The 24,482-nt window shown below is 41.4% G+C and overlaps 1 long non-coding RNA gene across 2 annotated transcripts in view, besides 3 other annotated features; it reads left to right on the top strand.

Moving 5' to 3' along the window:
- The window catches only part of KLF3-AS1 (KLF3 antisense RNA 1), a 65,801-nt gene that overhangs the window by 20,741 nt on the left and 20,578 nt on the right, over positions 1-24,482 (top strand). The window contains exons 2-6 of one of the 2 annotated variants that reach the window (NR_171644.1): positions 8,095-8,197; positions 13,572-13,653; positions 16,051-16,114; positions 18,391-18,551; positions 19,574-19,731. This is a non-coding gene — a long non-coding RNA (KLF3 antisense RNA 1). Of the gene's footprint in view, positions 1-8,094; positions 8,198-13,571; positions 13,654-16,050; positions 16,115-18,390; positions 18,552-18,869; positions 19,732-24,482 lie in introns of both variants that reach the window. The other variant, NR_026804.1, reaches the window with a different exon arrangement.
- Positions 10,332-10,501: an enhancer, noted in NCBI's record as "experimental_79852 CRE fragment used in MPRA reporter constructs". NCBI's record gives its function as "activates a minimal promoter by MPRAs in K562 erythroleukemia cells, with activity observed for both the introgressed and non-introgressed 4:38635358 variant alleles {active_cell/tissue: K562}" and the evidence as "EXISTENCE:reporter gene assay evidence [ECO:0000049][PMID:34662402]".
- Positions 19,408-19,577: an enhancer, noted in NCBI's record as "experimental_79844 CRE fragment used in MPRA reporter constructs". NCBI's record gives its function as "activates a minimal promoter by MPRAs in K562 erythroleukemia cells, with activity observed for the introgressed 4:38626282 variant allele {active_cell/tissue: K562}" and the evidence as "EXISTENCE:reporter gene assay evidence [ECO:0000049][PMID:34662402]".
- Positions 21,173-22,025: an enhancer, noted in NCBI's record as "H3K27ac-H3K4me1 hESC enhancer chr4:38623749-38624601 (GRCh37/hg19 assembly coordinates)". NCBI's record gives its function as "activates a minimal SCP1, AML or CMV promoter by ChIP-STARR-seq in naive H9 embryonic stem cells {active_cell/tissue: H9 hESC(naive)}" and the evidence as "EXISTENCE:reporter gene assay evidence [ECO:0000049][PMID:30033119]".

Here is a 24,482-nt window from a genome sequence, read left to right as displayed (position 1 = left end):
TGGATGAATAGGCTCAGTCCTCATGGGGGCTGGGTAGGTCTCACAGCTCTGCATTTCCGCAAGTACCACCCTCCTTCATTCTTGAATTCATGCACTTACTTACATTTTACTCAACAAATATTTATTGGGAGGTAAATTTGGGCCACACTTTATTCCAGACCCTGATGACAAGGGGGTAGCAATGAAGGCATAGCTCATTCCCTCATGGAGCCTGCATTCTAGTGGGAGAACAGATATTCAACAAATAGTTACCAAAACATTTTTCAAAACTGTAATAAGAGTTATAAAGGAAAAATACATGGTACCAGAAGACAAATAAAACAGGTGAATTAATCTAGACTGATGCTCAAGGTCTCTTTCAGAAAGTTGACCTTTGAGATGAAGTTTCAATCATGAATTAACTGGGGGAAAACTTATTTGCACTTAAACTAGTTACAAATTACCATCCTACAAAACCCTTCATGACAATTCTGTCTATCTCCATTAGATTTCTTCTCTGTTCTACAAGATCAAATGCTCACTTTCAGGTATCACGTTTATTCTCTTCTATTATATTGTTCCTACTGTCTGTCCATCCATCCATCCATCCATCCATCCATCCATCCATTAGCTATCTAATAAACTTTCCTTGAGCACCTAATATAAGCCTGGCACTGTTGCACCCCAAGTTCTTTATTTTTTCCTCTCTCTTCTCCTTTTTTCTTTTTGACTTCTTTTTTTTATCTACCCCTTTATATGATTCTTGAATCTTCTATTTTTGACACCCATCTTTGATGTTATTCTCTTCCCAGTTCTCTTCCATCTCCTCCACCTTGACTAAAAGTATAACTACTCATTCTATTTTCAACAAATGGGTTCTTCACATTTTTATGAAATAAATATTTTTCTAATCAGGTGCGAGAAAATAGATGCTTGTTTGTTTTTACTTTTAATTTCCTTTTTGGTTTTATCGGCTGATTGTAGTTTCTATCTCTTAATAAAGAAATGCCACTAATATAAAACAAACTTTTTGGGGGATATCCATCTATCTATCTCTATCATTTATCTGTATTTTGGATCAGTTCTTTTTTTTCACTATAAATACCTGGAGGTATACAGCTCTATTTGTTTCACATAATATAGCATCTGGAGCTAATGATAATTGCTTCCTAAACTTTTCACATGCTTTAAAAAGAGGTACATCATGGCCGGGCACGGTGGCTCATGCCTGTAATCCCAGCACTTTGAGAGGCCAAGGTGGGCAGATCACCTGAGGTCGGGAGTTTGAGACCAGCCTGACCAACATGGAGAAACCCCGTCTTTACTGAAAATACAAAATCAGCCGGGCATGGTGGCACATGCCTGTATTCCCAGCTACTCGGGAGGCTGAGGCAGGAGAATCACTTGAACCTGGGAGGCAGAGGTTGCAGTGAGCCAAGATCACACCATTGCACTATCATCTTTTCTAGGCCTGCTAATATGCTTGTTCTACCTCTGATATAAATGTACAAATAGATTCAGAAATGCATAGCTCCAAGCTACCCTTCTTTCAGCTTCTTCTATCAAGTTCTCTTTGTCTTCTCTGTCGTAACCTGAACATGAGAAATTGTGGTCAATGATTATATAGCATATCAACTATTTAGGCAAACCGCAGGAAAAGTTCTACACTTTGTTCTCTAGCTACATACAAGTCAGTCAAATTTACCAAATCTTTGGAAAGTCTGAAGACCCAGAGTATACTACATAGTAAGTTCTACCTATCAAATGATAAGTAGAGGGGACATCACCTTATAGTCATGATGGAATAATAATAGCCTGACCTAACTGCCCATTATAAATTATTGTAATTAATAACTGCTTTTAGACATTGAGCAACAGTCTATATATGACTGTGATCCCTAAGAGAAGAGAAACAAAGTGAATTCAATGACTGCCCTGGTTTTCTGTCTGAAAGCAATTTCTAGACCATGGATCCAGGAAGGAGGGATATGAGCAGATCCTAGTAGCCTCGCTGAATTGATGAGATGAAGATCAGAGTTTGGGGAGGCTGAGGTGGTGAGAGGTACTGGGGCAGAGTTCTGAGAAGGAGGAAGCTATGCAGAAAAAGAGCTCCAGAAATATGCATAGGAATCTCTTGAATTTTTGCTGAGTGTTAGGATACAAGTATGTAGAATGATGCTCTACAAGTCTGGGCAAGAAAAGACTTTTTAGTTGTAAGCTGAATAAACCCAGAGCACACATGAAATGGGAAAGTGTTTTTTGTCTGACCAGCCAAAGGGGAGTCCTCATTCAGCCCTGAAGCATTCAGTGGAGTCCTTGGAGGCATCACAAGTTAGAAAATAGGGCTGAACTATCCTTGGAGTGAAGGGTACTCTAGACCGGGGGTGGACATTTTTTGTTAAATTTTCAGAGAGCAAACATTTTAGGCTTGTGGGTCATATATTCTCTGTCACAACTAATCCATTTTAGTGTGAAGGCAGCCATAGACAATAGATAAGTGAGTAGGTATGGCTGAGTTCCCATAAAACTTTATTAACAAAAATAGGTGGCTATCCTGTAGGCTGTAGTTTGCAGACCTCTGTTCTAGAACAGTGCTGTCTAGTAGAAATATAATGCATGCCACATATATAGTAAAAAGAAATAGATAAAATTAATTTTAGTAATATATTTTACTTAACACAGTATATCCAAAGTGTCACCAATATGTAATCAATATAAAATTATTAATGAGATACTTTGCGTTCTTATTCTCATACTAGGTCTTCCAAATCCAGTGTGTACTTTATGCCTTTATCACATCTCAATTCAGATTAGCCGCATTTCAGTAGCCACATGTAGCTAGTGACTACCTTATTGGACAGCACAGCCCTAGCCTCTCTCTAGTAAAGCTTAAAAACGGATCTTGAAGATTAGCACTTAACTTCACTGCCTAGCAAAAGAAAGTCCAATACTATTTAAAGGAAGACAACATAATGCAGACACTTAATAATGTAATGATAACAATGCCAGCATCAAACACAATCACTAGATATGCTAAAAAGCAGAAAAAAATACCTGTAACAAGAAGAAGAATCAGTTAAGAGAAACAGAACTGGAAGTAACAAGGTAATGGAATTAGCAGACAAGGATGTTACAACAAATTTTATTAGTGTGTATCAATATTTAAAGGAAAACACAAAAACAGTTGGGTATGGTGGCTCACGCGGATGATCCCAGCAATTTGGGAAGTTAGAGTGGGAGGATTGCTTGAGCTCAGACGTTCAAGACCAGTCTGGGCAACTAAGTGATACTCCATCTCTACCAAAGATAATTTAAAAATTAGTTGGGTGTGGTGGTGCATGCCTGTGGTCCCAGCTACTTGGGAGGCTAAGGTGGGAGGATCATGAGGTTGAGGTTGTAGTGAGCTGTGATTGTGCCACTGCGCTCCAGCCCGAGTGACAGAGTGAGACCCTGTCTCTAAATAAAATAAAATAAAATAAAAATAAACAAAAACACAATAATAATCAGAAAACAATGAAAGATAAAAAAGAACCATGATGAAAAAAATACAACATCTGAAATGAAAATTTCACTAGATGGGATTAATAGATTAGGCAATGGATTAGTGAACCTACAAATACAGCAACGTTACCTATGCAAGATGAATCACAGAGAGAAATAAAAAACTGAAAAAAAAATAGTGAACAGAGACCCAGTGATCTGTGGGATAATATCAAGCAGTCTATCATACATGGAGAAAAGGATAAGGGACAGAAAAAGTATTTGAAGAAATAATAGCTGAAATATTTCAAAATTTGATGAAAACTGTATTTCATAAATCTAAGAAGCTTAATGAACCAGGAGCTGAAATAATTTCATCAAAAAAAATTAAGGTCTAGGTATGGTGGCAAGCACTTTTGTAGTCCCAGGTACTAGAGAGGCTAAGGTGGGAATATTGTTTGAGCCTAGGGTTTGAGACCAGCTGGGGCAACATAACAAGACCCCATCTCCAAAAATAAAATGAAATAAAGAAACAAAGGCACATAATTAAGTTGCTGAAGACCAGTGTTGCACAGAAAATCTTAAAGGCAATCAGAGAAGAATACACATTATATACAAAACAGACAATGGAAGGATCACAGACTTCATTTCACCTCCAACTTTGCAAGCCTGAAGACAATGAAATAACATCTTTAGAGTGCTCAAAGAAAAAGGCAGCCTTGAATTCTATATTTAATGAAAACATCTTCAAAAACAAAGATGAAATAAAGTTTATCAGACATAACTTGAGGGAATTTGTTGTCGGCAGATATATGCAACAAGAAATGTTTAAAGGAAATTATTCAGGCCAAAGCAAAATGATACCAGATGGAAACTTGAAAGACACTATTTCAGAAGTAGTAAATATGTGGACAAATAGAAAAGACTTTGTGTCCTTATTTTTAAATTTCTTGGAAAGCTAATTGACTGCATGAAGCAAAAATAGTAACAATGTATTTTTGAGATATATCAAATATGTATTAATAGAAGTAAAATATTTGACCACAGCTTTAAGGACAGGATAGGGAGAAGTGGAAGTCTATATAGATGCCCTTTAATTTATGATGGGGTTACATCCTGATAAACCCATCGTAAGTAGAAAATATCGTAAGTCAAAATTGGCATTTTAGGGACACCATGGGATGCAAAACCATAAAACACAGTATCAAAAAACACTGGCAACACAGTACACTGTAGAGTATCTGTTGTTTACCTTCGTGACTGCATGGCTGGCTGGCAACTGTGGCTTACTGCCACTGCCCAGCATTGCAAGAGACTATCACACTGCATATTGCTAGCCAAGGAAAAGATCAAAATTTAAAATCCAAAGTATGATTTCTACTGAATGTGTATTGCTTTCCTACCATCATAAAGTCAAACCATGGTAAGCCTGTAGCTATAAGAGTTTTACATTACATATTAAGTAGCATAATATTAGTTGAACATGTATAATGAGTTAGAAATGTGTATTATAAAAAGTAGGAAAATTATGAAAAATAAAATAAGTTTTATATATAAAACATATATGTGTGTTTGTGTATATACATATATATATCCAGCAATAGAGATAAAATGAAATATTAAAAAGCACTAATTAAATCAAAAGAAGCAGAAAAAAAGAAACAAACAATAGCAAGGAGAGATGAGTCTAATAGAAAACCAATAGCAAATAATAGATTTAAATTCAGCCATACTGATAATTATGTTAAATGTAAGTGGTCTAAACACTCGAATTAAAAGTCAGAGATTGTCAGACTGGTTACAAAAAGTAAGATCCTATTATGTGCTGTGTACAAGAAAACCACTTTGTAGAACAGAAAGTTAGAATTAAAAGGATGGAAAAAGATGTACTATGCAAACATGAATTACAAGAAAGCTAGACTGGTTATGTTAGAGCAGACAATATAAAAAGGAATATTACTAGGAATAAGGAGGAACTTTTCATAATGATAAAGGCGTCAATTCATCAGGATGATATGACAATCCTAAATGTACTAGAGCTTCAAAATACATGTAGCAAAACTTGACAGAACTGAAAGGAAATTTTTCAAAACCCCACAGTTACAGTTACAGATTTCAATACTCTTCACTTAGCAATCAATAAAGAAGTAAGACAGAAAATCAGCAAGGATGTAGAAGACAGCACCAGTCAACTGGACCTAACTGGACTCTGTCCAATGACAGCAGAATACATTCTTTTCAAGTTCACATGGAACATTAACAAAAAGAGACTAAATGTTAATCATAAACAAGTTCCAACAAATTTAAAAGTATTGAAATCATAGAGTATGTCCTCCACCCATAATGAAATTAAATTAGAAATAACAGCTATTTGAGAAATCTCCAAATATTTAGGAATTAAGCAATAGACGACTAAACAACACATGGGTCAGAGAAGAAATCACAAGAGAACTTAAAAAATATTTTGAACTGAATAAAAATGAAAACATATCAAAAGTGTGGGATGTAGATGTAGCTACAGCAGTGTCTCAAGGGAAATGTAAAATATTAAATGTTTATATTAGAAAATAAGAAAGGTCTAAAATTAGCAATCTAAGATACTGCCTGAAAAAATCAAGACACGGAAGACAAATTAAACCCAAAGAAAACAGAAGGGAGAAAATAACAAAGACAAAAGCAGAAATCAATAAAATATAAAACAAAAATAATACAGAAAATCAATGAAACCTAAAGCTGGTTCTTGGAAAATTTCAACAAAGTTTATAAACTTGTAGCCAGATTTGTTAAGAAAAAAAGGGAGAAGACACAAAATATCATACTAGAAATGAGAGTAGGACAGATGCTACAAACATCACAAGGAAAATACATGAATATTATGAATAACTTCATGTCAATAAATTCAACAACCTAGATGAATGGACAGTTCCTTAGAAAATACAACATACTGTGTGTGACTGAAGAAGTTGAATAGCCCTATATTTAGTAAAGAAATTAAATGTGTAGTTTAAAAACCTCCCACAAAAAAACCTTGAGGCCCAGATGGCTTCGGTTGTGAATTCTATCAAACTTTTAAGAAAGAAATATACCAATGTTTCACAAACTCTTAGAAACTAGGAGGATGAAATACTGCCCAGTTCATCTTATGAGGCTAGCGTCATCTTGGTATGAAATCTGATAGATATTACAAGGGGAAAAAACTTCATAAACACAGATGTAAAAATCCTTAGCAAAATACTAGCAAATTGTGTGCAACACTCTCTTAAAGAAATAATGCGTCATGGCCAAGTGGGGGCTATTGCAGGAATGTATGAGCAGCTAGAGGAAGACCATCGAAGGTGGGGGGCGTATGATGATGGGAAGAACAAATAAAAGTAAGAAGAGAGCACCTTTGGCTCCAATCGTCTTGATTTCTATTTTGACTGTGGTCAACATTACCAAGCATTTACCACATTCCAGGAAACATGTTCAGAGCTTTATGTGGATTCTTTTGTTTAGTCTTTATTAGAACCCCATGAGGTAGGTACTGTTGTAGTGGGCATTTTATAGATGAGTAAACTAAGGCACAGAGAAATTTGAGAACCTGTCTGCAGTCCCCTGGCTGTTAAGATTTGGACCGATGCTTGTCTGACTTCAGACCCTGCACTCTTTATTAATGTGACACTTTGCACAGAACTACTCATTTTCTTTGCTTTTGCCTAGCAAGGCTTATTTCATCAATCTGAAACACTTACCCACTTTTTTGGTCCATAATTAAGAACTGATCTCTGAATCAAAATGCTAACTACTTTCAAATGCAGAATATTTCCAAAATAAAAGTATGTTTCTTAAATTACAAAAGTCATAACAGGACACTGGGAGATATGTTCCATTATCCCCTCCTCAATTTTGATGTGGTTACAAATATTGTGGTGTCCAAGAAGTGGAAAAAAATCCTTTCCCCTGCTATGTGTAGAACAAGATGCTTTTACTTTTCAGTGTGTGTAGACCTAGATTTCAATGCTGGCACTGTGGCTTGATGGCATATAGACCAGACCTGGGCAAGTTATTTAAGCCCGGTGAGCTTCATTCCCCATTTGTAAGGTTCTGCCTTCCACACAGGATAGTGTGAGGATTAGAAAGCTATCCAGCCACACTTCAATTTTCTTTTCTTTCTTCTGCTTTTCCCTGGCTTTTTCTCCTCGATGCTGCTTCCCCGGAGTCTCAGAAGTTTGAGTCTCTCAAGAAAAGTGTTTATCAAACTTTTAATTTTTTAATTTTTGTTTTCTATATTCACCTTATCTTACATAATTTCAAAGTTGTTTTGACCATTGTCCACTGTAAGAAATATGCTTTACTTCATAAACCAGTATATACATTATACACAAATGTATGTATAATGAACGTGATCACCCAATTTACAGTACACACTGGGAAAGTTATTATTTTGAAGGTAGCAACCATGCTGGGCCAATAAGAATAAAGCAGGGTGTTCTGGGCAAATTGGGCCACATGTCCCCAAATCACTTGACCTTATATATTTGGATACATTCTGTTTTCTTGTATTCTAGCTAATTTAAAAAATGCTTTTCAGGACTTATTACATTAATTTTGTAACCCACTAATGAGTCTAAACCAAGCATTTCTGATTACCTCTAGAGAATAACTTGTCTGACTACCAGTATTCTTGGATGCAGAAGTGCTGAAGATGAGCACACACACGTACGGAGAATTTCTGGAGAATTCAGCTGCTCAGAACAAGGTGCATTCCAATTGCCAGAGCTACACTCATTCTAACTCCCTTCATTCATTCTCTACCCATTCTTTCATTCACTGATTTGTCAAATGCTTTGAGCACATGCTGTATTACCAAATGCTGGGAGCTGTCAGACACTGGGTGCTGGGACATAGTTTCTGCCCTTGAGGAGTTCCTGTGTTCTAGTGGGGCTGACACAAAAATAATCATAGGACAGGGAGATGAGTGACACCTTAAAGGTGAACAGAAGGCCTTAGGAACATGGAAGAAAGATCCACCAGCCATGCCAAGGAGAAGGAATGGGTTCTGAGGAATAGAGTTAACATTGAAATTGAAGTTCTTGAGCAAGATGTGGATGGACTCGGGGAGTGAGAGGAGCTACTCAAACCGGCCAGCACGCTGCTCAAGGCAGCTCACAAGCCGGTGTACACGATATTTTACTACTAGAGTTAGTATGTATGTGTATCTATTTCTGTTGTTTTTCTCAAACTTAGTTTAAACTTCATGAGCTTATGTCACTTCATGACACCCCCTCTATGTCTATCTCCCCAACCTAGTTGGTTTTTTTTTTTTTTTTTTTTTGAGACAGTTTCGCTCTTGTTGCCCAGTCTGGAGTGCAATGGCACGATCTTGGCTTACTGCAACCACCTCCCAGGTTCAAATGATTCTCCTGCCTCAGCCTCCCGAGCAGCTGGGATTACAGGAGCCCATCACCATGCTCAGCTAATTTTTGTATTTTTAGTAGAGATGGGGTTTCACTATGTTGGCCACGCTGGTCTCGAACTCCTGACCTTGTGATCCGCCCGCCTCGGCCTCCCAAAGTGCTGGGATTACAGGCATGAGCCACCGCACCCGGCCTCCCCAACCTGGTTTTTTAACATACAACGAATGGGTGTGAGTTCCCTCTTCTTTCTTCTTTCACCCAACTTATCCAGCTCTCTTTTTCTTCACAGCACTTTTCGTCTCCTAAGTATACTATATAATTGACTTAACTGTGATGTTGACTATCTGTTTCTTCCAGAATGTAAGGAGAAGATTGGTCTGGCTTTTTTTTTTTTCTACTGTGATGTCTCCCGGTTCCTAGAAAGGTGTCTAGTACGTACATAGTAGGTTCCTGATAAATGCCGGGAATGCCTTGAAAGGGTTAGCAAATTTCCATATCCAGGACATAGTTACTATCCTCTCAGGTTGGAAGGAAAGTGTAAAGAAAAATAAAGGCCTACAAAGGATCATTTCTAAAAGCATCCTTTTCCTCTTCCTGCTTCAACAGTACTTATTGGTCATCTGCTCTGGGTTAGCCCTGCTCTGGGATTTCAAGAAGAGCAAAACAGATCCCATCCTATTTTCATGGACGTCTCCTGCCAGAGTGGAAGCAGATGTTAATGAACTATATTATTGAAAATTTGGGATAGCTGCTAAAGAAAACAAGTGGAGTATTTTATGCTTTTGTTATGAAAGCATGAAATAGCAGCACATGACTTGGCCTGGGAAGTCAGGGAAGTTATTTTTAAGCTGAGTAGAAGTCAACTCAGTGAGAGAAAAGAGTGGGAGAGACAGCATTCAGGCAGAAGAAATAGAATGACAAAGGTCATGGTATGGGAGAGAGAATGGCTGAGTGTCCCAGGTGTGGTGGGAGCCAGGGTGAGGGAAGAGGGGCTCAGCATCATAGAGGAGGTAGGTCAGGCAGACCGCACAGTTGGACACATGCACCAAGAGGTTGGCCTTTTAGCCAGAGAGCAAAGAGCAGCCATGGACAGGTTGAGAGCTGGTGAGTGAAGGGATAGTTTTGGTTAAAGCATGGACAGTGGATTGGAGAGTATGGCAGAGAGGATATGGGGAAGCCAGGTAGGAGAGTGCTGCCATGGTCAAAGCAAGATGCGATAGTTGGAGTGGAAATGAAGAGAAATGGGCAGATTAGAGAAATATTTAGGAGTTAGAATTGAAGTTAATGGCTGTCCTGATTCCAAAAAAAAATAGGTGACAGCTTGTCCGTATAAAGTTTTGAATGTGTCTATAAACCAAAATGTAAATAAAGCAGCATCTTGACTTGTTTGTCCTTATTCTCTGTGATATGTCAAAGATATTGGTAAAGAAATAAGCCCAATCTGCAGTAGATCTAGGAGCCTGCCTCTGGCTGGTGGGCCTTCTGGGAAGGAAAATGAGAAAATACTATTGGGAAGTCCTAGTGTAATTGAGGGAGAGATAATAAAAGGGTGTGTGTGTGTGCACACTCTGGTTTGGAATCATAGAAGCCTGCCTCACCTCTTTTACGCCCTTTCTTCTAGGCCTGCTTCTTTCTTTCCGCATATACTTTTCAGCGTATACCCGTTAAAATCAGTGGTTCTTTATTATTTATTTATTTATTTATTTATATATTTATTAATTATTTTATTTATTTTTATCCTTGCCAGCAGGAAGTCAAAAATCAGTGGTTCTTATTGTTCCTTGTCCTCTATCCTGAGAATAATGCACAACCAATAAGCATAGAACATTTTATATTACATGTCAGGGGCCTTGGGACCACAGATTGAGAATCTCGGGACAGCAGAGTTTATAAAAAGGCAATTCATAGACAAAAATACATTTAGTCAATAAATATGTGAAAAGCTGGTCAAGTGCATTAACAACAACAACAACAAAAAGCCAACAGAACCAATCATGAGATAGCATTTTTCATCTCTCAGATTGGCAAAGTTTCAAAGGCTTGATAATCCCCACCTTTGGCCTTTGTGGGCAGAGATGAGCACTCTTGTATAACCCTGGGCGAACATAAAATGAAACAACTTTTTAGAGAGCAATTAGGCAGTAGTTTTCAAAATTTTTAATGCATAGTTTCTTTAACCTACTAATTCAAAGTCTAAGAAACTATCCTTTAGGAAAACAAACATAGATATCCAAATAGTCAAGGATGTTCATTGCAGCAACAACTAGAAAATTAGGAACTGCTTGAATGACCACCAACAAAGAAATGGTTCAATTAATTTTTAAACATACCCATCCATACAGTGGAATGCTGTGTAGCCAAAAAGAATGAGATCTATCTGTACTGATAATTAAGTGAAAAAGGCAAGTTGCAGACCAACATATGTGGCACAATATATTCTGTATTAGAGAACTCACAAAACATTATTTGTGTTGGACATAAATGCTTTTTATTTATTTATTTATTTTTCAGACGGAGTCTCGCTCTGTCGCCCAGGCTGGAGGGCAGTGGCACAACCTTGGCTCACTGCAGTCTCCGCCTCCTGGGTTCACACCATTCTCCTGCCTCAGCCTCCCGAGTAGCTGGGACTACAGGCGCCTGCCACCATGCCTGGCTAATTTTTTGTATTTTTAGTAGAGACGGGGTTTCACCGCGTTAGCCGGGATGGTCTCGATCTCATGACCTCGTGATCTGCCAGCCTCGGCCTCCCAAAGTGCTGGGATTACAGGCGTGAGCTACCGCACCCGGCCCATAAATGCTTTTGTATATATTTGTATATGCTTAGATAAAATATACGTGGATTTCCCTGAAACTCATAATGAGGATTAACTCTGGGGAGTAGGATTTGGTTGAGGGGATCGAAATATTCTTATTTTAATTTTATGCACTTCTATACAGTTTGAACTTATTTTAACAGGGTTTACTGCATAACCTTTTTTTCTTAAAAAACAAAGATAACATAGGAGTTTCTGACCTTGAGATTCTTTTCTGCTATAAAGCTCTATTTTAAAATTTGAGCTGGGGGAAGAGGCAAACTGTGAGATGTGCCTCAGTCTCCTCCCCTGATTAAAATAGTTCAGTGACATCCCAGTGTTTTGGTGATCAAGTCCAAACTCCTGAATGTGGCACTGCAGGTTTTCTTGATCTGGCAATGTGTCTGCCTCTTCAGTATCTTCTGCAACCCTCCAACCCATAGACTGTGTTCTCACTGGAACTCACTAGGTTGTGGGGTTCTCCAGGTGCTCTGTCGCCCAGGCTGGAGTGCAGTGGCGCGATCTCGGCTCACTGCAACCTCCTCCTCCCGGGTTTAAGTGATTCTTGTGCCTCAGCCTCCCGAGTAGCTGGGAGGACAGGTGTGCGCCACCAGACCCAGCTAGTTTTTTAGTAGAGACGGAGTATTGCCATGTTGGTCAGGCTGGTCTTGAACTCCTAGCCTTAAGTGATCCGCCTGCCCCGACCTCCCAAAGTGCTGGGATTACAGGCATGAGCCACCGCGCCCGGCCAGGATTCTCCATGACTTCTGACACGCTTTCGCTTTTACAAAGGATGCTCGTGGCCTGTAGTGGCATCCTCAGCTGCCAAGCCTCAGTGTAAGTGTCACCTTATCCAGAAGATCTGGCCCACTCACCTTCTCTACCTGTTTGGGTACAATGCTGCTCCTAAATGCTCCCAGGTACCCCAGGCGTACCTTGTGTGTTCTATCACTTGTGTCCTCCTGGGTATTAGTCTCCTGTTGCTCCCTAGGTGACAGCCCCCTGAAGGCAGAGGCTGTGCTTTGTGTCTCTGTGTCCTTATTGCATGCATGGCTCACTGCCTGGCCCCAGGAGGCCCTCCCTCAGAAAGCATCCACCCCCGATCCCCACTTCATGGGATCCACTCATTGGCAGCCTCAAAGAAGTAAGAGAGACTGAATTTAAAAGTCCTTGCAAAGGCTGGGTGTGGTGGCTCACGCCTGTAATCCCAGCACTTTGGGAGGCCAAGGCGGGCCGATCACGGGGTCAGGAGATCGAGATCATCCTGGCTAACATGGTGAAACCCCGTCTGTACTAAAAATACAAAAAATTAGCCGAGGGTGGTTGCAGGCGCCTGTAGTCCCATCTACTCGGGAGGCTGAGGCAGGAGAATGGCTTGAACCTGGGAGGCAGAGGTTGCAGTGAGCCGAGATCGTGCCACTGCACTCCAGCCTGGGCGACAGAGTGAGACTCCATTTCAAAAAAAAAAAAAAAAAAAGGCCTTGCAAATGACTTCTTTACATAGAACCTAAATTAAAATTTGGAATCACAAAACACAGCATTTTATAATCTGGAAAGGATTTAGAAGTTATCTAGGGAGGTTGTTTTCAATCAAGAGTTGGGGGACTAGTACAAGTCTGAGGCACAGTTTTCACACTCCAGGGCAAAATGAGAAAAACATGAGCAATGGAGCAGACAAAAAAATAAAAATCAGGATAAATGCATTACATTTAATGATGGTTTCTTATTCAGAGAGTATGTTGCCCTCCTCCCATTTTAAGGTTATTTATGGATGATATGCTAGTATGTGGTGGTGTTGTGTTTTTATTTCCTTGGTAACCCTGCATTAGTTGTTAGTTCCTTCTTGATTTTTTTTTTTTTTAGTTTAATTGGTCTATTAATTCTAAAAGTCTGGAAACCCTAGCTCTTGTGTCTTTACCCTCAGAACTGAGATCCAGAGAGATGATGACTTTGCCCATAGACCAAACAAAGAAATACATGTTTCAGTCCTGTGTCCTCCTGCTATGGTATGTAGTGCAGTTGTGTACTTTAAAAAATATTGTCTATATTTGGTGTGATTGGTTTTCTGTTCAGCATTTTAAATTCAGAAATGAACCAGTCAGTTAACATATTTGTTGTATTGCAATTGGAAACAGTCTTGCTCTCTCAGAAGCGTCTGTAACCATATGGTATTACTGTCTGTCAGTATTTGGTGAGGTTTTAAGAAATGTCAGAGTTCTGAAGTTATATATTAAATATATGTAATGTTATTATTGACTTTGATATGAAAATAAAGACTGTTCTCTTTCAATTTTTGAATGCTTACTAAGTTTGAAGATGCTGTAAGCACCTTAAAAAAGAATTTAAATGACTGAATTTGGCTATTGCTGTAATTCTGCTTTTTAACATCTGAATACTGTTCAACTGAGAAATTCCACTTCTAAGAGCTTATCATAAGAAAATAATGAGAGATACATTATGCAGAGATGTATGTATAAAGCTGTTCATTAAAGCATTTGTGTTAAACATCAGAAATAAATGTCCAATAACAGGAAATTGGTTAAATACATTTTGTTACAGTAACTTAATGAAAAGTACTTTGGTTATTAAAATGGCTGTACAGTGGACCCTTGAGCAACATGGGCTTGAACTCTGCAGGCCCACTTACGCATGGATTTTCTTCCTCCTCTGTTGCCCTTGAGGCAGCAAGACCAACCCCACTTCTTCCTTTTCCTCAACCTGTTCAACATCAAGACTATGAAGATGACGAGTTTTTTTAATTTTATTTTTTGAGCGGAGTCTCACTCTATCTCCTAGGCTGGAGTGCAATGAAGTGGTCTTGGCTCACTGCAACCTCAGCCTCCTGAGTAGCTGGGACTACAGGCACGTGCCACCACACCTAGCTAATTTTTGTATTTTTAGTAGAGATGGGGTTTCGACATGTTGGCCAGGCTGGTCTCAAACTCCTGACCTCGTGATCCACCCACCTTGGCCTCCCAAAGTGCTGGGATTACAGGCGCGGGCCACCACACTCGGCCAAAGATGAAGACTTTTATGTTGATCCATTGCCACTGAATGAATAGTAAATATATATTCTCTTCTTTATGATTTTCTTTGTAACAATTCATTTTCTCTAGCTTACTTTATTGTAAGAATACAGCATGTAATACATATAACATACAAAATATGTATTAATTGATGGTTTATGTTATTGGTAAGGCTACTGGTCAGCAGTAGGCTGGCAGTAATTAAGTTTTTGGGAAATTGAAAGTTATCTACAGAATTCTGACTGCGGGATTTGTGCGGGATAGGTACCCCGAATCCCTGTGCTGTTCAAGGGTCAACTGCATTTTTATTTTTTATGTTCTTGTCTAAATTTTCTAATTTTATTTACCACAATTATATTGTACTTATATAACTAAAAAGTGATAAAATTTGACTAGCTCAATGCTTTGTACAAATAATGTTCCTTATTTGTTTTTCATTTGCTTTTTTTCAACTTGACATTGTTGATTAATATAATTTGACAGCCAATGAAAGTTCAGTATATGCAGATTCTAAGTTTTAATTTTTTGATTTCACTGTTATATCTTCTATTTTTATGTAGTTTTCCTTTTCTGAGACTGAACTGCTGTAAATCAGCACATAGTCCAACGGGAAGCTGTCATTTTCACTTTCAGCATCGTGCTCCCCTGCAAGTTCTTATTGGAGGTTCTAATTAAGTATCAATAGGGTCAAGCACCATAAACTCAAAGATCTAGAAGACATTTGAAGAAGCAATTGTCTAAATATTTCTTTCTTTTTTTTTTTTTTGAGATAGAGTCTCACTCTGTCTCCCAGGCTAGAGTGCAGTGGTATGATCTCAGCTCACTGCAACTTCCGCCTCGTGGGTTCAAGTGATTCTCCTGTCTCAGCCTCCCAAGTAGCTGGGATTACAGGCGCACGCCACTACACCCAGCTAATTTTTGTATTTTTAGTAGAGATGGGGTTTCACTGTGTTGGCCAGGCTGGTTTCGAACTCCCGACTTCAGGTGATCTGCCCGTCTCGGCTTCCCAAAGTGCTGGGATTACAGGCGTGAGACACCATGCCCAGCCAATATTTCTTTTTTTCTCTAGACCCAACTGCATCTTAGCTCAGAGTAGGAATATTGGCCATGGGATTTTCCAGGTTTGCAGCCTGTTGGCCTAACATCTAGAAAGAATAGCATCCTTAGTATTTCCAGCCCCAAAGTAGTCTTCTTGAAAAAGGAAGATAGTAGGAGCTTGATTATATTGTGACTGTGTATGCCTGTGTATGTGCCCACTTGTGTGTGTGCCAGAGAGGGAGGGAAGGTGAGTTGGAATGGGTAAAGGAGTTTCTGGTATCTTTGGCACTAGGTTAGTTTGCTTTTTTATAGCTCACAATCTCCAATCGTTCTTCCTAGTGTGTCCGGAATTGGTGGGTTCTTGGTCTCACTGACTTCAAGAATGAAGCTGCGGACCCTCGCGGTGAGTGTTACAGTTCTTAAAGGCAGTGTGTCCAGAGTTTGTTCCTACTGATGTGTGGATGTGTTCGGAGTATCTTCCTTCTGGTGGGTTCGTGGTCTCGCTGGCTCAGGAGTGAAGCTGCAGACCTTCGTGGTGAGTGTTACAGCTCTTAAGGTGGTGCGTCTGGAGTTGTTCATTCCTCCCAGCGGGCTCGTGGTCTCACTGGCTTCAGGAGTGAAGCTGCAGACCTTCGCGGTGAGTGTTACAGCTCATAAAGGCAGCGTGGACCCAAAGAGTGAGAAGTAGCAAGATTTATTGCGAAGAGCGAAAGAACAAAGCTTCCACGATGTGGAAGGAGACCCCAGCAGATTGCCACTGCTGGCTTGGGCAGCCTGCTTTTATTCTCTTATTTGGCCCCCACCCACATCCTGGTGATTGGTAGAGCCCAGTGGTCTGTTTTGACAGGGCGCTGATTGGTGCGTTTACAATCACTGAGCCAGATACAAAGGTTCTCCAGGTCCCCACTAGATTAGCTAGATACAGAGTGTCTATTGGTGCATTCACAAACCCTGAGCTAGACACAGGGTGTTGATTGGTGTGTTTACAAACCTTGAGCTAGAGACAGAGTGCCGATTGGTGTATTTACAATCCCTGAGCTAGACACAAAGGTTCTCCACGTCCGCACCAGACTCAGGAGCCCAGCTGGCTTCACCCAGTGGATCCCGCACTGCCCCTGCAGGTGGAGCTGCCTGCCAGTCCCTCGCGGTGCGCCCGCACTCCTCAGCCCTTGGGTGGTCGATGGGACTGGGCGCTGTGGAGCAGGAGGCGGCGCTTGCTGGGGAGGCTCCTGCGGCACAGGTGCCCACGGAGGGGGTGGGAGGCTCAGGCATGGCGGGCTGCAGGTCCCGAGCCCTGCCCCTTGGGAAGGCAGCTAGGGCCCCGGGAGAAATCGAGCGCAGCGCCGGTGGGTCAGCACTGCTGGGGGACCCAGTACACCCTCCACAGCCACTGGCTCGGGTGCTAAGCCCCTCATTGCCTGGGGCCGGCAGGGCCTGCCGGCTGCTCCGAGTGCGGGCCGCCAAGCTCACACCCACCCAGAACTCCAGCTGGCCTGCAAGCGTCGCGTGCAGCCCCGGTTCCTGCTCGCACCTCTCCCTCCACACCTCCCTGCAAGCTGAGGGAGCCGGCTCCGGCCTTGGCAAGCCCAGAAAGGGGCTCCCACAGTGCAGCGGTGGGCTGAAGGGCTCCTCAAGTGCCGCCAAAGTGGGAGCCCAGGCAGAGGAGGCACCGAGAGCGAGTGAGGGCTCTGAGGACTGCCAGCACGCTGTCACCTCTCACTAGTAGCTATCCTACTTTTAAATAAAGAATTAGGCTGGGCACGGTAGCTCACGCCTGTAATCCCAGCACTTCGGGAGGCCAAGGGGGGTGGATCACCTGAGGTCAGGAATTCGAGACCAGCCTGGCCAACATGGCAAAACCCCATCTCTACTAAGAATACAAAAATTTGCCAGGCATGGTGGCGGGTGCCTGTAATCCCAGCTGCTTGAGAGACTGAGGTGGGAGAATCACTTGAACCCGGGAGGCGAAGGTTGCGGTAAGCCGAGATTGCACCACGGTGCTTCGGCCTGGGCGGCAGAGTGAGACTCTGTTTCAAAAAAAAAAAAAAAAGAATTGATTACTTGTTCTACATCTGATTCTCTAGATTGGAAGAGACACTAGGGCAGAACCATGTCTTTCCCTCTCTCCCACTATTTCCCCAGGGCCTTTTGTATATACAGTGAAGATTTCATAAATATTTGTTGAATGAATGCCTGTATGGGTTTTAAAAACCTGTCTTTCCCCTCTTCCTTTTTTTTTTTTAATCTGGCTAACAGCTTCTGTGGCTGTTGTAGCTTGCTTTCTTCTTCTTGCTACTTCTTAAAGCCATTTCTAGAAGAGAACTACACCATCAGACTGAAAGAGGTACTTGGCTGCTTCTGCAGCAGAAGGTAGGCCCACCCTCCATCCATAGTGATCTCAGAAGGGTGGGATCTAGGCCTCAGCCTTGTTTATGGATTGAGGTTTGCTCCTCCTTTTTCTCTAGCTATTCCTATGCTCTAGGTAGTGCTGTGGCAAAAGCCAAGGATCTGTCTCAACGTCTGCAGTAACACAGGGCTGTCCTAAACACAGTTGCCTTTTTAGGAAAACTGATTTGGATGAGAACAACCATCTTTAATTTGTGCAACGTACTGTGTTTTATCATGGGAGAGCATGGTGAAGGCACAGGTTTTTGTTCACTGCTGTTTCCACCCTTTAAGGACCGTGTGTGAATGCCTGCTCTGTGAGCCCTCAGAATCTACTGGCTGAATGAGTGCGTGGAGGAAATGTGCTCAGAGCTGCTGTGTGTCATCCTGTGTTTGAAGTGCTCCTGCAGCTATCATTCATCCAGTTAAGAATTTGAAGAAGTGTGTGCACAAAGGTGACACTTTGCTTATCCTTTCCCCAAAATTACAGTTCTAAAATTTTCCTATACAATCCTTCTAAATTGGATGACAGTTGTCCCATTTTCCTTTGCAGGATGTACCAGACTATTAATATTGGTGACCATGGGCTAGGGAGTATGTTCTTGATAAATTTACAAAATCTTCTGATCAACTATAGACTTTAAAAATATAACATCAATTTTTTAATAAAATACTCTCTCTCTCTCTCTCTCTCTCTCTCTATATATATATATATATATATATATATATATATATATGTATATATATTTGCTTTTTTTTTTTTTTTTTTTTAGACGGAGTCTCACTCTGTTGCCCAGGCTGGAGTGCAGTGGCACAATCTCGGCTCACTGCAACCTCTACCTCCTGGATTCAAGCGGTTTTCCTGCCTCAGCCTCCAGAGTAACAGGGATTACAGGCATACTCCACCTTGCCCTGCTGATTTTGTATTTTTAGTAGAGACAAGAGTTTCACCATGTTGGCCAGGCTGGTCTTGAACTCCTGACCTCAAGTGATCCACTGCCTCAGCCTCCCAAAGTGCTGGGATTATAGGCGTGAGCCACTGCGCCTGGCCAAATGCTCTACTTTTTAATCAATGTTTTCCAAAATAGGGATTTTTGCTATGTGCTTTAGAAATTAGAGAACAAACGGTGATAATATATGCTAAACTTAAAATTAGTATGCCTCCTTTTATAGACAACAAGAACTTTGTCACTTCCCAGTTTGTCTTGTCATTCAGGAGGCTCAGAGCTACGATCTGTGCCCACTCGTGCTGCCTCTTCTTAACTTTGATTTCCTGAAGCAGCGATTTCATCTCCGTTTCCCCTCATCACCTGTTCTTTTAACTGTTTAAAAACAGCATTACATGTTGTTGCAAGTGGCCTCAAATTCTTTTTGGTAGAAGGGAAATTGTAATCCATGAGAAGAAAAAAATTTTCCTAACTATTCTCAGGTGTGTTTAAGGGCTGCATTCCATGATGCTATCAGTGCCTTCTTTCAGCTCACAGGATATCGGCCATGTTAATGAGTCTGATGTTGCTAGTATCACAGGCACCGGAAAATATGCACATTATGCTGGAGCATTAGAATGCAACAGAAAGAGCCCTGGGCTTGGAGTATGCAGAACTGGTTCTTGTTACAACTCCTCTTACTAGTGGGGTAAGTTACTTAGCCTCCTTGGACAAGTTACTTAGCCTCTCTGTGCCTCAGTTTCTCTTCTATTGGGTATAAAATCACATGCGGTACCTACTGCAGTGGGTTCTCATGATGTGAAATGACATAATGTATGCCAATGTGTTTTGTAAACATTGCAATTGTCTGCGCTTTTTTTTTTTTTTTTTTTGAGATGGAGTCTCGCTTTGTTGCCCAGGCTGGAGTGCAGTGGCACGATCTCGGCTCACTGCAACCTCTGCCTCCCAGGTTCAAGTGATTCTCCTGCCTCAGCCTCTCGAGTAGCTGGGATTACAGGTGTGCGCCACCACGCCCAGCTAATTTCTGTATTTTTAGTAGGGACGGGGTTTCACCATGTTGGTCAGGCTGGTCTCGAACTCCTGACCCCGTGATCTGCCCTCCTTGGCCTCCCAAAGCACTGGGATTACAGGCATGAGCCACTGCGCCCAGCCAGTTGTCTGCACTTTTGTGTCCCCCACAAGTCTGTAAGTTCCTCAGAATCAGGGGCTGCATCTTGTTCAGATGTGTGCTCCCAGGGCCTGGTTTTTTGACCTAAAGATGCACTTTAAGAGAAGGTCCTAGGCCGGGCGCAGTGGCTCATGCCTGTAATCCCAGCACTTTGAGAGGCCGAGGCAGGCGGATCACCAGAGGCCGGGAGTTTGAGATCAGCCTGGCTAACATGGTGAAACCCCATCTCTACTAAATACACAAAATTAGCTGGGCGTGGTGTTGCATGCCTGTAATCCCAGCTACTCGGGAGGCTGAGGCAGGAGAATCACTTGAACCCAAGAGGTGGAGGTTGCAGTGAGCCGGGATTGAGCCACTGCACTCCAGCCTGGGTGACAGTGAGACTCAGACTCCAACCAAAAAAAAAAAAAAAAAAAAAGTTCCTAAATGTAGCTGACACTGTTACTCATTGTTTTCTTGCAGAAAAGCCCACTGGTGTTTGTTTATTAACAAACCAGGTCATTGTTCAGCTGGGTTTCATTGAGTGCCTTCTGTGTGCTTTCTCTTGCCCCTGGGGTGTTCAGCTGAGAAAGAAGTATGGATGATAAGCAAAGAAAAATGGAAACCCACACATTATAGATTCATATGTGTCTGAGGTCACAAAATGGTGACTTAAGGGAAAAAATCTGCTTCTAGACATGCTTTCTTTGGCTCAAACACTAATTTTTAAAAATGTAAACCAACAATTTAAAATCCAGAAATTTGGATTTTGCTTTCTCTTGAAAATGTGCAGAGCTGGTCACACCAAGTCAGGCCCTCCATGGAGACAACGGAACAGTGCAGCACAGCTGCAGCCACTTCAGGGATGCCCTCACTTGCTTACCACGGGGGTGGCCCCGTCCCTCCTCATCCTCTCCTGAACACCAAGGCAGATAGGAAGTACCATTATCATCATATTTGTTATGCTTGCACTTAGGTAGCATTTATTGCATACCAGGCACTAGTCTGAGCACTTTGGTTAACTATCATCCATCCGTCTATCTGTCTGTCTATCTGTCTATGTATGTATCTATCTCTGTGTCTATCTACCTATCTATCTATCCATCCATCCATCCATCCTTCCATCTATCTACCTAGCTACCTACCTATCTATCTATCTTAAAGGTAAGGAAGGCTGGGTGTGGTAGCTCACGCCTTAATCCAAGCACTTCTGAAAGCCAGGTGGGTGGATTGTTTGAGTCCAGGAGTTCCAGCAGCCTGGCCAACATGGCAAAACTGTGTCTTTACAAAAACCACAAAAAATTAGCCAGGTGTGGTGGTACATGCCTGTAATCCCAGCTACTTGGGAGGCTGAAGTGGGAGGATCACTTGAGCCTAGGAGATCAAGGCTGCAGTGAGCTGTGCTGAGGCCACTGCACACCAGCCTGGCCAACAGAGCAAGAACTTGTTTCAAAGAAAAAATAAATAGGCTGGGTGTGGTGACTCATGCCTATAATCCCAGCACTTTGGGAGGCCAAGCTGGATGGATCACCTGAGGTCAGGAGTTTGAGACCAGCCTGACCAATATGGTGAAACCCTATGTCTACTAAAAATAGAAAAATTAGCCGGGTGTGGTGGCACGTGCCTGTGGTTCCAGCTACTTGGGAGGCTGAGGCAGGAGAATTGCCTCAATTCTCAGGAGGTGGAGGTTGCAGTGAGCCAAGATTGCACCACTGCGCTCCAGCCTGGGTGATAGAGTAAGACTCTGTCTCAATAAATAAATAAATAAATAAAAATAAAGGTAAGGAAAGTGAGGCACAGTTAGTGTGTGGTGGTCCGGGATTCAAACCCTGGCTAACTAGTTCTCCAAGTTCTTGCTCTTAATCACTCAGCTATATCAAATCTCAGTACTCCTGTTGTGGGGAAGATATGAGGCATCAAGCCTAATAGAAATGTAAACTTGTACCTGAGTCTCTGTTCCAGGACACCGTGTTCTGTTTAATTAGAGAGGGAGTCATAAACGAAGTGATTTTGTAGAATTTTTTTTTTTTTTTTGAGATGGAGTCTTGCTCTGTCGCCCAGGGTGGAGTCCAGTGGCATGATCTCGGCTCACTGCAACCTCCACTTCCTGGGTTCAAGCGATTCTCCTGCCTTAGCCTCCTGAGGAGCTGGGACTACAGGTGCCCGCCACTGCAACTGGCTAATGTTTATATTTTTAAGTAGAGACGGGGTTTCACCATGTTGGCCAGGCTGGTCTCAAACTTCTGACCTCAGGTGATCCGCCTGACTTGGCCTCTCAAAGTGTTAGGTGTTTACAGGCATGAGCCACTGCGCCTGGCCTGATTTTGTAGAATTGTAAAGATAGAGTCCAGTCCTGTTAAACACACCATGCAGAAACCTCTTTGGAGATCCAGGGGCAGCACACATTGACAGAAAGCAAGGTTAACTTCCCCGAAGACGGGTGCAAACAGAAGATAAACAGGAGGTGAGGTGCTGCAGCGGAGACCCATGACTTGTAGCTTGGATCAGATACCTGAGGAAAGTAGACTGACCTGGGTGCGTTAGGGAGGGCGGCAATAAGGCTGAAGTCCTGTTTGACCAAGGTGATGTGGGCTGAATCGGCATCCTTACAGGAGGCCTGCTGAACTTCATTCATTGCTTTCACAATATAAGAAAGTCAATTTTGTAACACAGGTGTCCCTATAATACTGGCCTGACTGTTTACTTCTGCTTCAGTCCCTGAGCATATGAGTAAATACTTCAGGCACTATAACGAGCAGAAACTTGAGACAGAGCTTATCTTGTAATGCTGGGTCTTGCATCATATCCAGGGTGTGGTGTTACTTTAGAAGGCAAGTTAAATAATTACGTGTTTTCAGATTGAGCAAACAGTGCATGTGCTCTGAGAAGGCTAAGGATTCATACTCTGAGAGCCCAGTAAATTAACTTATTCAGTGGGATGGTAGGCTCAGTACCTGGGTATGTCAAATGGTCTCAATATATTACATATAAAAACATACACACACATGCATATACATACATACACATATGTGTGTGTACATAGATATGCATGTATACATATAGATATATACATATGCATGTGTATGTATAGATATATACATATGCTTATGTTAAATATTTATGTATCACCTTGTATATAATCATACTTACTTACAAAACAGCCCGGAAAAGCTTGGAGATGTTAAGTGAATCAATTAAAGCTAATTCAGGCAAGCCTCAGTCATTGACCCACCCAATGTGTACTGTCTTTATGACATGTGATATATTTAGTACAGTACTTTGTGTTTTTGATGTTCCCTAACAACATAATAAAGTAAAAAAATTAATGTTGAAAAACATTAGGGTCACCCTAAACTGCCTTCTTTAGAAAATACAAATGTGACATTCTTTCATTAGTTACATTATTCTCTTATTCTATTGTTATTAATTCGTTACATTCTTTTAAATAGCTACATTTTTTATTCTCTTATTCTTTCTTTCTCTTGGACAGAGAGATTGGAACTGTGTCTAACTCTGTCATGTAGTAACTATTGTCATGTAGTAAATGTTCATAAGCATCAGTAGTGATGATCTGCAGCCCCACCCCTGCCTGGTCTCTGTTTCCTTGGTTTATTGCTCTTAGATAATTTCTTCCTTTTTCTATTTTTGCATTTTCAAGAACAATGCAAGGCATGATAGTTATCTGATTCAGGACTTTTAAAACACACTTGAAATATGACAACTGCTTGTTATTCTAGCTCGATAACAAATCTAAGGGCAAGCTATTGAGCACTGATTTGTCCTTTTCTTCCTCATTCCAGCTGCTATGGACCTAAAGTGGAGGGCTTTGAAATTTCCTGCTTAATTGGGCTGCATGTCATTGCTGTCCTTAGAAGTTGCTCTGGGATGCAGGTGCTGGTTTCTTGGATCTCCTTTGCTGGAATTTTGCATGTCTTGTTTTGTTGTTGTACCAGCTTTGTGGATCAGCCAACATCCTTGGCTTGCCCTGTGGGGAGTGGGGTGGGACACATCTTGGATTGCTCTATTCCAGGGATGTCCAACATTTTGGCTTCCCTAGGCCACATTGGAAGAAGAAGAATTGTATTGGGCTACACATAAAATACACTATCACTAAAATAGCTGATGAGCTAAAAAAAAAAATCGCAAAAAAAATCTCATAATGTTTTAAGAAAGTTGATGAAGTTGTATTGGGCCACATTCAAAGCTTTCCTGGGCCACATGCAGGCTGAGGGCTGTGGATTGAATAAACTTGCTCTATTCCCTTTGCAGTAGATGCCATCTGAGTATGGGTC

This window comes from Homo sapiens, chromosome 4 (genome assembly GCF_000001405.40).
Source record: "Homo sapiens chromosome 4, GRCh38.p14 Primary Assembly".
NCBI lineage: Eukaryota > Metazoa > Chordata > Mammalia > Primates > Hominidae > Homo > Homo sapiens.
This window is presented reverse-complemented; position numbering and strand designations above follow the sequence as displayed.